The sequence below is a fragment of the Homo sapiens genome, chromosome X, assembly GCF_000001405.40.
Source record: "Homo sapiens chromosome X, GRCh38.p14 Primary Assembly".
NCBI classification, from domain to species: Eukaryota; Metazoa; Chordata; class Mammalia; order Primates; family Hominidae; genus Homo; species Homo sapiens.
This window is the reverse complement of record NC_000023.11, coordinates 13,825,902-13,840,280: the sequence shown is the minus strand read 5'-3', so window position 1 is coordinate 13,840,280 and position 14,379 is coordinate 13,825,902. Positions and strand designations below refer to the sequence as shown.

The window sequence follows — 14,379 nt, the reverse complement described above, 5'->3', positions numbered from 1 at the left end:
AGCATCAGAGCTGAGCCTGGAGGGTTGGTGGCATGCTGCTTAGTCAGGTACTCCTCTTGGAGGACAGGAATGAGGTATTGCATGTAAATTCCTTAGCTAAATGAAATATGTCTTTAAAACTTTTCGTCCAAGTATTACATGCCTTCTCAAGCTATCATTTTAATAAGGTCCACATTGCCAATTGTTTTCATTTGTGGATTGTACTTTTGGTGTTGTATCTAAACACCTTTGTCAAAAGCCAGTTGACTACATTTCTGTGGGTCTATTTCAGGGCGTTCTATTCTGTTCTACTAATCCATGTACGTCCATTTATCACTACCACACTGCCTTGATCTGCATAGCTTTATAGTTGTCTTGAAATCCAGTAGTCTGAGTCCTCTTTGTTCTTTTTCAGAATAACCTTGGCTATCCTAGATTCTTTTCCTTTCCGATAAGAACTTTAGAATCAGCTTGTCAGTATCTACAATAAGGCTTGTCAGGATTTTGACCTGATTGCATTAAATCTATAAATGAAATTGAAAATGAAACCCTCATTTTGAACATCAGTTTTCCAGTTGGGCTTTAATTCCTAGAAGACCTGGAATTAGGAGAGGCCCAAATTGAGACATGATCCAGGCCAATGAAACATCACTTAACAGGGAAAGAGGGGTGTGTGTGTGCGGTACATGAGAAAGCGAGATGGAAATCAGAACCAGAAAGAGGCTGAGCCAGGATCAATGACTGGAGACTCGGTCCCACAGGCATGGATGTTGGTCCCAGTGTGGTGTATCGCTGAAAAGAGTCAAACTCTGTAAAAATATTTAAAGAAGTTTATTCGGAGCCAAATATGAGTGACCACGGCCCAAGGCACAGTCTCAAGAGGTCCTGAGAACATATGTCTAAGGTGATTGGGTAATAGCTTGATTTTAAACATTTTAGGTAGACAAGTTATAGGCAGACATCAATCAATACATGTAAGATTGGTTCAGTCCAGAAAGGTGGGACATCTTGAAGTTGGTGGGGCAGAGTCCAGACCATAGGTGCATTTAAAGATTTCCTGATTGGCAGTTGGTTGAAACGGTTAAGCTCTGCCTTGAAGGGTTGAAATCAGCAAAAAGAAATGATAGTAGTTAAGATAAGGGGGGTTGTGGAAGCCAAGGTTCTTCTTATATAGATGAAGCTTCCAGGTAGCAGGCTTCAGAGAGATTAGATGGTAAACATCTCAAAGTATTATGGGACCTACAAATATTCTGTTTGGTCCGTTCTGAGATCTCAGTTTTAATGTGAATGCTGGTCAGTTGTGCCTTATTTCCAAATTGGGAGGAGGGTATCATGAGGCATCTTGGTCTGAACTAGTTTTTCAGATTTACTTTGGAGTCCCCTTGGCAGGAGGGGTCCAGTCAATAGGTTGGGGGCTTAGAATTTTATTTTTGGTTTACAGGAGGATGGGCAGAGCTGAGCACCTAGGCCTGAGGGAGAGGGACAATGTCTAGGCCTCTAATAAAGGCAATAGGCTACAGTAGTTCTGCAGGGACCATGTGTAGGATGCCAAGCACATGGTCCCTTGCCATCAGGTTCAGCTGCCTCCCCTTCCTCCCTTTGGGCAGGGGAAGGCAGGAATGCATGGGCCTTCCAGAGCCTAGCTCAGCCCCCAGCTGGTGCCTGGTTCCACCTTGGCCCTTAGGAGAGCTCTGACACTCTGAATGTCACTGGCCTTGTCTTAGGGGCCTTAGAAACCAATGAGTGATAATTAAGGAACTGGAGCTTGTATGAAGAAGGTGCCACTTTAAGTGTCCCTGATGGTTTTGAGTTGCCACTAAAGAGCTCAGAGCCCTTTCAAAGAATTCAGTCTGAGCCAGATGAATCTTAATTTCTCACCCTCAAATTGAGATGCAGTCCTTTGGAGAATTAATATTTAGTGGCATGGAACACAAATCATTTCTTTTGCTGGACTCTTAAAGATGTACTAGATTGATTTTGTTTTTATGACCTTTCAAAAACATCGCAGTCTGTTTTGCTAGCTCCAGCCTGTTGAAGTTTTAGAACTCATCTTTAGCAACATCAAAGGTGACAGGGACAGCCTTTGAGAAAGGTACGCATGAAGTGATTGCTGGCATCCCATAGTCAAGTCTCAGGATAAAGCATCCATATTGCCTTTTTTTTTTTTTCTTTTTTTTCCTTTTTACTAGTGGAGATAGGAAACCTATAAATAAGCATGGCAGAGGTGTCCCCTCTGAAGATTGCCCCTTACTAAGTATTTACAGTAACTGGATTTCTTTATTTTGTCAGTTTCTCCAGGAAGAAAGGTGATGTCATGCTCCATAGCAAGATGAGAGAAGGAGTTTAGGGTTTGTAATTTTTTTTTAATCAAAGAATTTAATTGCAATTTAATGACGAGAGAGAGGATGTTTATTACACGGTGGTCCAATAAATACTTTCTAATAAGTTTTTAAGCCATTTGAGGGAAGGCTTGCTACAACAAAATTGACAATCAGGCAAGCCGCTTTGAAGGAAGCAAATCCATGAATTTTCAGACACTGTTGCTAAGCGCAGCTTTGCTTTCCCCTCTGCTTCCCCCCCCCCCCCCCCCCACCAACTTGCTTTGAAAAAGCAAAGCTTAAAAGCCTCTATTGTGTGGAGGGGGGGAATATGCTAATTTGCAGCACATTTCCCATCAGACTCTTTTTTTGGCCTGTCATAGCTGAGATATGAATGATGATAAAGAGAGGAGAAGGTGGCATTATGAGGGTTCGGGGTTTTGTTATTGTGCAGAGAGAAAGGGGATGAATAGGGTGGCACCTCCAGTCACCCGTGAAGCCCCCCTGGGTCTGCGGGCTGCCTGGAGTTGAGTGGGTTCTCATGGGTCTGTTCTGCCCTTCCCCCAGGCACTGCCACAATCTACTGGTGACTCAGCGGCCCCCTCGGGGGAAGGCCGTGTGTGTAAAATGAATAAACACGCCAGGGTGGGGAACTTCTACAGGGGACTAGGAAAGGGGACTTCTACCTCCTAGATAAGTCGTAACAAAGAAAAAGAGAAATCAGTGTTTTGACATGGCAGTAACAACTTTATGAGATATCAAGGTTGTGATTGAAGGGATATCTAGATACATATCCCTTCAAAGCTGTCATGTCGTGGTTTCATACAATTTGGGTTGCGTTTATTTTTGTCAAGTCTTCAGCTTATTCAGTTGGCTCTCTTGCCGGATAACTGGATATGTAGTTAAATTTTTATGCATTAAACATTGATTTTTATGGGGCAAAGTTAGCTAGCATTTCTGAACAATGAGACAACAGTATTGGATGCTTACTCCTGTGTTCAACAATATGAAAAACATGTTTTCCTTCTTGCTCTGAGTGGTTGATTTTTTTTGCAGGAAAGCGCATTGATTTTGTTCCTCGTGAGCACTCCTTAGCTCAGTTTTTTAAATGTATGAATTTTATAACTGAAGAATAATGCATGCATTAGCAAACAGCTATTAAGACCTGCAAAAGTGCTTCCAAATTGAAATTTCGCATGAGTCATTGGAGGCAATTTGTATATGTCAGGTACACACGTAGTGTGTTCTGTATAGTTCATGAAAGTGAATCGTTTGAAGCTAGAAAAGGAATGTTAATTGCATTCTAGGTTTGTGTTGAGTACTTAGTCGATACTGATGGTAGTATGCTTTAGGTGTGAAACAAAAATATAGGATGTCTTTACTGCAATAGTAAGGTGCTTTTAAAAATAAATACATAAATAAATAAACATAGCATCTTTGCTTCTCTTGACTCTAAATTCTGAACAGCTAAAGCATGACAAATCTTTGCACTGTAAAAATGGGACGTTATTTATATCCACAGAACTTCATTGGATAGAAACTAGGGTTAGAGCTCATTCATTTACCTCTACAAATAGGTAGCTCACTTATCCAGATGCATGCAGGTATTAAATGATTAAGCCTCTGTAGATTTTTTTCTTCCTTAAATTAAGGTCTGGAGTCTTCTGTTTGGTGAGTCTTTCACTGGTATGGTAAGCATGCTTTAGCATTAGAATCACACAACCCATTTAAGTTACCATTAATTTTTTTCTGATTGAAGTTGTAGCAGATCAAGGATATCATCGTGAAGGAGCAGATCAGCCACCTGTATGAGTGATTTAAAGTGCAAACTGCTACTGGTTGTAAGCTCAAGACTTGTCTCATTCAAACTCTGGCAGGTCACAAAACGTTTAACACATCTTGCTTATTAACCTCAACAGGTGGTGTAAGATTAGCATTTGAGAGCCACGTGTTCTGAAGACCATCCTGCATTTGTTTGAGTCAGCTTTGGCATGCGGCTAAGCTGTCACTCTGTTCATATCTTCAGAAACTAGAAGCTAATACATTGTCTTGCCAAGCATTTTTCACATCTAGCACTGATGGTGTACCTCTGTGTTTTACTATAAAATGTAAAAGTTGAATGAAGTTGGGAGTTAAGCAGACTCTGAAAGTGAGACTTCTTGTCACTGATTTGAAACTCAGGGATGCACTAGCCCCTCTTAGTTCTTGATGTTTCAGGCAAAACCCTGATGATGGTGCCATGACTGGAAAAAAATCCTGTATAGACAGCTTTTTAAAAGGTACACGTAAGACTAGCTTTTATCTACATGTTGTATTTAATACTTAATCTAGCCAGGAACTCTTCTCATCTGTTTACTACATCCTCATTTAATCTTCCCAGTCACTTGAAGGTGGATATGACTAAATATTACAGTGTACAGGTGAGGCTCTGAGGCACCAAGGAGTTAAGAAACTTGCTCCCATTGTAGAGTTGAAGAAAAACTCCTAGCTTTTTCACTGGGGTCTAGGACACCCCCCAAAAAACTGAAATTCCTAAAAGTGTATCAGATAGAGAACTTCTGATTATTTCTCAAGTACCCATTCAGATAGTATTTCTTCTAGGAAGCCGTGCTTGCCACACATCCTCTGCCCCTTCCAGCTTTTATTGGCCATTCTTGCTGGCAGAGTTAAGCTTGACTACATACTTGCCCCCATGGTTCCACTCATCCTTCCATGGGTTGTATGAGTTTGGGAAGGCTGAGGACCAGATGGCTCTTGTTGGCCATTTAGCAACACCAATAATAGTTGTCCCGGGCTAGATGCTGGGTCTATACTGGTGAATGAATGAGACATGGACCCAACATTCATGTACTCATGCACGGTTTAGTCTGCTGAGATGCTCTGTGGTTCTAGCTGCCATGACAGTGGCACCACCCCCACACACAGGGAAACAGGTAAATATTTGCTGAATAAAAAAATTAATGTTTGTGTCCCTCTGTTCACATGAGCCCATTAGCTCCTCCAGTGAGAAGCAGTCTCCACTCTTTTTATATCCACAGTACCTGACACAATCCTTGGCACATGGCTGGTACTTGATAAATATCCATTAAGTAAACAGATGAGTTATTAACTGACAGCTAAGATGTTTCGAACTGGTATGTCTTAATACGATGACAAGTATCCATTTATTCTTATGTACCACTGTTGCTGCCTTCCACTGAGAAGCTTTCCTGAGAATGAGTGGGATCTCAGGTTGAGAGCTAGAAATTGCTTATAATCCAAGGTTCTCCCCTGTGAGTGGGTGGAGCAGGTGACCATTATCCATCTACTATACTCTGACAGAGACAGGTTGACAAGCTCCATCCCAGAGTTTTATTGCCTTCATGAAAAAAATTTTTAAGCCCTACTCTGGCCTCGCCTATCAATCATCACAACTACTTTTTATTGACTGTTCCTTGGTCTTGAGCAAAGCCCATGGCATGCATTCGCTTACTTAATTGTATGGCATGGTTTGTCAGTGGCTTTTCATTAAAAAGATAAATTGACATTAACAAGCATTGATTTCCAAAGATTTATGTTGTCTTCTCTATTGTGCTCTCTCTTGGCCCAGTAAGATTTTACTTTTAAAAGGCATTTTGTAAAAATACAGGAATGTGGCTTGGCAAAGATGTATATCTTTAGGAAGAATTATCTCTGCCTAGTGAATATATTGTAGATTTGGCATTTGAGCCTTATCCTAACAGAATATTTGCTTTGCTAACTATACATCAGGTGAAAAAAGAGCATGTTTGGGTGGGAATCAAGAGACTTGAATTCTTTAGTCCTATCCATCCTGATTACAGACTGGAAAAGGAAAGATGAGCTGGATGGTTTTAAAATTTCCCTCCTGTTTTAGAATTCTGGGCACATAATGTTTATTTCAAATAAGACCGGATAATCAGAAGAATTGAACAAAATTCTTCTCGTTGTAGTTTCTGGGAAGAAATCCTAGGTTGTTTGACTCCAGTGCCTTCATCTTAAATGTCTGTGTGGTAAAATGAAGGTACATAGCCTGCCCTCTCAGGGCCCTGGGTGACATTGTCACCTTCATGGCATGAACCAAAGACAAAGCCCAATGGCAGAGCACTAGAAACCTTCCTCTCTGAATTGAAAGCCATCACTTAGTTACCACTTAGAAAGCACGTTAGCCCGTTCTGATTCCACTTGAGTGTATGACTAACTGACCTCAAATTGTTTGTACATTGAAAGCACAGATGAACACAGTTTTGTTTTTGTTTTTTAATAGGGTCTCTCTTTGTCACCCAGGCTGGAGTGCAATAGTGTGATCATGGCTAACTGCAGCCTTAAACTCCTGGGTTCAAGAGATCCTCACCCCTCAGCCTCCTGAATAGGACTACAGGTGCATGCCACCAAGCCTAGCTAATTTTTTTTCTAGTTTTTTTTTTTTTTTTTTTAAGAGATAGAGTCTTGCTCTGTTGCCCAGGCTGGGCTCGAACTCCTGGGCTCAAGAGATCCTCCCACCTCAGCCTCCCAAAGTGCTGGGATTACAGGAGTGAGCCACAGTGCCTGGCTGACACAATTTTTAAAGTGTACCATTATGTTGCTAACATTGCACTATCTTATTCTCAAATATATGGAAAGAGGTTTTATCAAATAGCTTGTGAGGTCAGCATAGACAATAGCATTCACTTGATCTAGTAATCCTATCTAAAAATAGAAAATACATTTGTTTCGGCAATACAGTATGTCATTGATGTAGAAATTATGAATGTACAATTACAGGATAAATTAAAACTGCCCAGCCCTTAAGTTATTATGGGTTAATGCGAGTGGATATTTGTCATCTGCTGTATGAATGTCAGCGTCATACACAGATTTTTAGGGAATGCTGAATGTCAGACAGCTCACAAAGAAGCAAAGATCATAACTCACTATAACCTCAAACTCCTGGGCTCAAGTGATCCTCTTGGCTCAGCTCTTGAGTAGCTAAGACTACAGGCCTGAGCCACCAAGCCCAACTGTTCCTCAGATTTTGACCTTTCCTCTGAGATGATCTAAATCTGCAGATTCTGTGCTATGAAAACATTGTGTGCTTTTTAATGACTTAAAATATTATTGGTAGATTCCATGAGATCACTGAGATTTACTCTTCATTGGTTGCCCTTTCTACCCAATAGGATATTTTATGTTTGACCTGGCAGGGATCATTATTTCAAGTTGTCCCAATGCTTTTCAATTTTCAAAGGCCACTGACTATTTAGTGGATTAAAGGACCTAAATGACTTCATCCTACTTCTAATTTCCATCCTAGAAGGTAAACAGATGAGACAATTGAACAGAAGATTGCATTTGAATAATGTGAATATATTTTAAAATGTGTGGCCTTGTCTTAGTGTGAATTATCATCAGCAATAGACCAAATGAAATAGCTCCAATTTTTGTGCAGTTTGTGTTTTATACCAACCGTGGACCACCCAAGCAGCTGACCCAACAAGGCACTGGTTTTCTGTAGACTTTAGTCTGAGGGCCATTGACTTACATATCTATAAGTCCTGGGTACTTTCCTGAACTAGCAAAAGCAAGAATGCTAACATCAGAAAGTAAATTTCGGATACTTCAACAAGCCACATGTTGGTAAATTTCAAATATTTTGTCTAACTGCGTGTTGGATAGTCACGTTCTTCTGTAAATTAATGGTTTTCAGTCTTTGGTGTATCTCAGAATCACCTGGTGTGAGGCTGCTGGGTCTAGGATGTTCATCTCCCTTCATTTGAGTAGGTAGCTTCATGAAAGTCACACTTGCAGTAGAGTCAAAGGAAGGTGACAACTACATGCTCACTCAGATCACCTGAATCCACCCTGCCAGTTAGAGGGCTGGCAAATATATTCCTCCTAGTCTATCAATAGCCTGTTTTTTTAATTGTAAAAAGTACATAAATATATTGTTTTAATTATATTTAACAAATTGTAATTCCCAGTTCATGAAAAGATCTTAACCAATCTTAAAACTCTCTATCAGATTTCTGTTGAGGGTGGGGAAATACATTCGAATGTTAAGTTTGGTTTTTCAATTTTTATATATTTGATAGCACTAAATTTTATCCATTTTGTTTCTAAAATACATCTCCAAGCAGATAACAGAGCCTGAATTTTATTATAAAATATCTTTGTAATGGTTTTATTGGTTTATCTTTTCATTTTTTGCTCTTAGCAATCTGAAGATAATAATTTCAGTGTAACTGCTTTGAGAGGTTGAAGGGCACAGGTTAGTAAGATCAAGGCTGAGAAAAACTTAATTGCACCATATACTTTCAAAGAAACAGTTTTGACATCTTGCCCCAAAGAACGCCAGGAGCCCAGTGGAATCCATCCCAGGGTTGGATGATGTTTAGAGGTCAGTAAGAGCAGGTGCACAGTCACTTGACCTGTACAGTCAGAGGATGGCTTAGGTCAATAGGAGTGGTGATGGAGCTGGGGCCATGCCTGCTGGGTTGTAGGGCTTCCTACCTGATGTTCTTTTTTCCTTATAACCATCCTGCTGAACTGGTCACTTAAGACCTAGCGTATCTTAGAGCCAGGACAAGCTCTATAAGCATCTTGTCCATGGCCTCGTGACTGGCAAGTGACAGAGCCAAGATTAGAACCTTAGAACCGAGACCTCCCAATTCCCATCCCAACCATCAGAGCCAACCATCTCAATAGATTTTTGAGACCCTAAATGTTTAGACAGGGCCTGATTGTAAATAAACCAGTTTCCATGTGGGTCCCCCAAGCCATTTGTGTGTGTGTGTGTGTGTGTGTGTGTGTGTGTGTGTGTGTGTGTGTGTACTGAGCTCTTCTACATCCCTTTACTCACCATATATTGGACCGTAAGCCTGTGCCTGCCTTGTACTATAGTATCCATAGCTTATTTATGAAATGTCATTGAGCCAGTAAGGGGAAGGTACCAGTGACCTGCCACAGCAGCAAAAGAACAGACTCCTATAGAATCATCACATACACCCTTAATCCCACTGAAATTGCATTAGCATGCCACCACATGGCCACAGCGACCCCTGCCCCCTTTCCCTTGCAGTGACAATTTACTGGATCAGGCCTTGCAGTGAGGGGCCAGCTTCTGAACTTGCAGAGCCAGGTACAAAATGAAAATGCAGGCCAGTTGTTCAAAAGGCAGGAAAAAAGGGCCATTCACGATACTAAAATAAAAACGTTTCCCTTTCTTCCAGTTTCTCTCTCGATTTGTCAAGACATTTTTGTTTGCAACTTAATGTCATTTTAAATTATTAGTGTGAATCTTACCAACCATCCTTCAATTGTACAGTGCAAATTTTAGATGCAAGTTTAAGACCATTTGCCATGTATGTGGGATCACTGACACACAATTTGTATTTTGTAGCTAGTACATACGTGTATTTTATACGAACTAGAACAGTGGAAATGCTGCACAAAGTTAACTCAATTGTTTTGATTTTACTTATTGATATTAGCACATCCTCAACACTCCCTCCCTGTGGCTTGCTAGTAAGTAAGGAAGAACTGAAAGGAAAAGGAACTCGGTTGCCCTATCTTTCCCTTTCCTTCTGGATTATTTTCAGTTTAAGTGCTTGGCCAATACAGGGAAGTAACAGGAGTAAGGAAGGATATGGTCAGGTTCCTTGGTCATTCATGTCTCTTAGAACTCCAGTACCTTCTTTCTGCATTTGAAGCAAGTTGAGCTTAGAACAGAAAGTGTGACCTTTAGGACTGTTCACACCAGTGCTTACTTAGTCATAGATGGAACATGCTTACCTTTTACGGACTTTGAGTCCTTATTGAACTCCCCATGCACCAGGGATTCACAAGAATTCTGAGCTCATGGGACATCATGAATGTGGTATGCAAATGAGGTGGCAAGGAGCACGTAGCTCCTTTGCTCACATGCGTGCATCATGGTCCCGTTGGACTTCACTTGAAAACACAGGTTCGAAGATAAAATGATTAAGAATTTCAAGACAGTGCCATCAGAGTATTAAACCAAGCTTCAGGCCCTTCTGAGGGCAAGGCTCTATGCACATCACATGCCCCTGAAGCTGACCCTGCTTGCCTGATTCTCTGACATGAAGAAAGAAATTCCACTGTGCTTTAAAAAAAAAAAAAAAAAAAAAATTCAGGACAGATTTAATTTGGACTTGAGTACCCAGGTGTTAGCAATATCCTACAGATTCCAGAAAACAATTTAGTCCATTGTTGAAAGAGTACCCTTGAAGGCATGTCTTTTTTTAATCCCATTATCTTATTCATCTCAGTTCCTTTTATTTATTTGCAACTTAGTCAATCTCAGGTCTCACATCCAAATTGGACCTCCTCAGGGAGGACCATGCTACAATTTGAGGACAGAGCACAGGTCTGGGGTGGGACCGGGTGGAGTGGGGAGTGCCCCTAGAAATCCAGGCCAGGCAAGGGCACAGAAATGAACTTTTCAGGGTCAGGGAAAGATCTAGAAGGACGTGAAATCACCAGCTAGTCTTTCCTCTCTCTACCTCTCCCTGGGACCTGTATGATGGTGGTGGGAGCATAAAGGACTTTGAAAATAGAAATAGCATTTTGTAAGTGTCATGTAGGAGGTATCATGCTGAGGTGCTGCATGCAGTGTTACACTCCTAACAATAGCCTTATGGGGGAAGTTCTCTTATGAGTCCTTTTGGTAGACAATGAAGCTGAAACTCAGGAAGGTCACATGGTATCATAAGGCTGGTAAGCATTGGAGTGGGGCTGGCAGGGATGCTGGACAAGGTTGCAGACATGAGAGCCTTCCTGAGTTGCGGAAGTGTGTGGCCCCATGTTTTATCAGAGTTTGAAGGGGAACTCCAGATTACTAGGTTTTGGGGAGATAGTTGCAAGTGATGGAATAGCCATTCTGAGTGAAGCTTTCTTTGGTGGTGACCTGGAATCTCTGAGTTCAACAGTTGATGCTGCTGATCACCTAGTCACCTGGGGCCTTATTGAGCTTTTGTTCCTGCCATCATTGCTGCCTGACTCTTGGTTTCCCTACTCTGGCATCCAGTGGCCTGAGTCAAGGTTCAGCTCAGCTTCTGACCAGCTTCTTGACCACCTTGGCCAAGTCCGTGTACAGCTCCCTTTGGTCTTCGTTTCTTCATCCATGCAAGGGGGATGGATACTGTCATGAAGGCAAAAATGAAAGAACTTGGGTTAAAGTTATTGTAGTAGTGCTGGTGCTGAGGAGACCCTCAGCTTTGAGTGTTGGCTTCTGTCCATTCCTCCTGAGCTACTGTCACATCTCATGTGGGTGCAGTGGGTCCTCTGGACACAGCGTTGAGCCCAGTCCATGGGTTCCTCATATAGCCAGCACCTTGGCCTGTAGCAAATAAAAACAAACCACTTGAAAGGAACTCGCCAAGTATCCCTGATAGCTGGCACTCACAGTTTGTTTGTGTGATGACTTTGCGTATTAGTCATTTTCCTGTTGCTTATAACAAGATACCTGAAATTGGGAAACTTACAAAGAAAAAAAAATTATTTCTTACAGTTACGGAGGCTGAGAAGTGCAAGGTCCAGGGGGCTGCATCTGGTGAGGGCCTTCTTGCTGATGGGGACAGTCCCAAGGTGGTACAGAGCATCACATGGCAAGGGGGCTGAGTGTGCTAACTCAGGTCTCTCTTCCTCTTCTTATGAAACCACCAGTACCCTCCCATGATAATCCATTCATCCATTAACACATTAATTTATTAATCATGAATGATTAATTATCATGACCCAATCACCTCTTAAAGGACTCACCTTTCAGTACTGCCACATTGGGGATTAAGTTTCCAACACATGAAATTTGGGGATACGTTCAAACCATAACAGTTGGTGATAGTTGCAGAGGAGCATGTACAAAGATTAGAAAAATATAACCAACCCCTGGGTTTGTTGGATGCTTTCTGTTGCTCAGATCATTGTGACATGAGCACTGTAGGAGGGGTGGATTTGAAGGGGTCTGGTTCCCCAAGAGGTATGTGGGCATCTGTGTGCCTGCATGAGAAAGCACCTTTCCTGGCAGCCCGACAGGTAGAAACTCATTAATCCACACATTGACTCTATTTCAGGGAAAGATGACGTCAACTCCTGCATGTTGAAGGCAGGGAGTGGCTGAAACAGCATCAAGGCGTGAAGGCTTCCCTGAGCCACCCTGAGTTCTCAGAAGGGTTCTTAAAGAAGTCACGTCATCTTTATCGCTACTTCTGCTGCACTTATCCCATAATTTTCCAACTTCTGTTGTGAGAACTTTTACAGCCCAAGTGTCCTGTGATTTAACCTTCAATTTGGTAATGTCTGTCTTCCTTTAGCAAAGCAGGCTGAAGGTGTTGAGATCCGCCTACCTTGGGAAGCTTTCCATGGTGGCACAGTATTGAAGGTTAGGCCTCATCCAAGTTGGCACAAGCCTTTGTCTCCAACCTGGGTGGGAGGAAGGTCAAGGCAGATGAGTGTCCTTTCAGTGCAGGGAACTGCCATCCAGGGAGGCTTGCATTTATAACTGAGAGACAGCGGGGTGAGTTAGAATGCTAAGAAGGGGGAAATGGGCTGGGCGTGGTCACACCTGTAATGCCAGCTATTTGGGAGGCTGAGACAGGCAGATGGCTTGAGCCCAGGAGTTTGAGGCTGCAGTGATCCATGATCGCACCACTGCACCCCAGCCTGGGTGATAAAGTGAGACCTGGACTCTAAAAGAAAAAAAAAAAAAAAAAAAAAAAGGAAGTCGGTAGTTCACCAAGGAGGCTTTCTAAAGGAGATGGACTTTAGCCCGTGCCTTTCAGGAGGGGACTTGGAGCTGGGGAGATGGGGAGACAGTGCGATTGGGATTTTGGCAGATGATATAAGGCAAATCCTCAGCAGAGCACCCCGGGTTCCACCAGCTTTGTGGTTGAGTTGCAGACTCTTTGAGTGAGAGAATAACCCAGCCCCGGTGGTTTCTGCTGAACCGAGAAGGAACTGCTCCAGAAACATGACAGGGATTCCAATAACGGCGGTTAAACAGCTAACAAAGAGGAGTCTGGAAGGCTGGCCCTTGTTCATGTTGGCTGGAACATGCTGGGTAGATGAGTTAATTGGGGGCCCTCACAGGGAATGCTCATTGTGCCACTCTTAATGAGAGAATCCAAGTGCCCCATGGGATGTAATAATTAGGAAGCATGTTGTCAGTAGATCAGCTGTCTGTCTCCTGATGTATGCCTTGTGTACACAGGAAGAAATAGAAGCTTTCCTTTAAAAAAAAAACAAAAAAACAAAAAACAGGGTCTCACTCTGTCACCCAGGCTGGAGTGCAGTAGTGTGATCATAGCTCACTGCAGCCTCCAACTCCTGGGCTCATGCGATCTTCTCACATCGGCCTTCTGAGTAACTGGAACTATAGGTGTGCCCCGCTACACTTGGCTATCTTGTATGTATGTATGTATGTATGTGTGTATGTATGTATGTATTTTAATAGAGGCAGGGTCTTTCTATGTTGCCCAGGCTGGTCTTGAACTCCTAGGCTCAAGCAATCCTCTGCCTTGACCTCCCAAAGTGCTGGGATTACAGGCATGAGCCACACTGTACCCGGCCAGAAACTTTCTTAAAGCTAGTTTAAAAACCGATCATTTGGTCCTCATTTCCCATTTTGGCTTTGTTTCTTCAGTGTGGCTCTGTCATGTTGGGGCCCATTCCCCTCAGGATGCTGAGACGTAAGGTAAGGGTATTCCTTGTCTCCTTCACTCTACCTCCCTAGGGTCTCTGTGCCCCTGGAAACTCAGCCCTACTCAGGTCCCCGGGCAGTCTAGACTCAGGGCAATCCACCTACCTCACTAAGACCCAAGATCATCGTGCCTTCCGTTTTGTCACCCATAAAACAGAGCTGATGCTTTCTCCTTCTTAGGGCTATGAGGTGAACTAAATCAAGACACAAATGTACCCTTCTCAATGCTGGACAGGTTGCCCTTTTAACCTCTCCATCCCTACCACCTCTTCTAAGATGAAATTCCTTAAATCTTGGAGTTGGATGACTTTTCCTTTTCCCTCTATTTCCTCTTCCTCACTTCCATTTCAGAAGGAGAAGCATCACATCCTGCCACCCACAGCTGGCCCT

At 42.5% G+C, this 14,379-nt stretch overlaps 1 protein-coding gene across 5 annotated transcripts in view, besides 1 other annotated feature; it reads left to right on the top strand.

Moving 5' to 3' along the window:
• GPM6B (glycoprotein M6B) overlaps positions 1–14,379 on the top strand; it is a 167,700-nt gene that overhangs the window by 98,358 nt on the left and 54,963 nt on the right. The window lies entirely within an intron of this gene.
• Positions 11,510–12,709: an enhancer, noted in NCBI's record as "BRD4-independent group 4 enhancer chrX:13845691-13846890 (GRCh37/hg19 assembly coordinates)". NCBI's record gives its function as "activates an origin of replication core promoter dependent on BRD2, P300/CBP, MED14 and CDK7 cofactors, and independent of BRD4, by STARR-seq in HCT116 cells {active_cell/tissue: HCT116}" and the evidence as "EXISTENCE:reporter gene assay evidence [ECO:0000049][PMID:35650434]".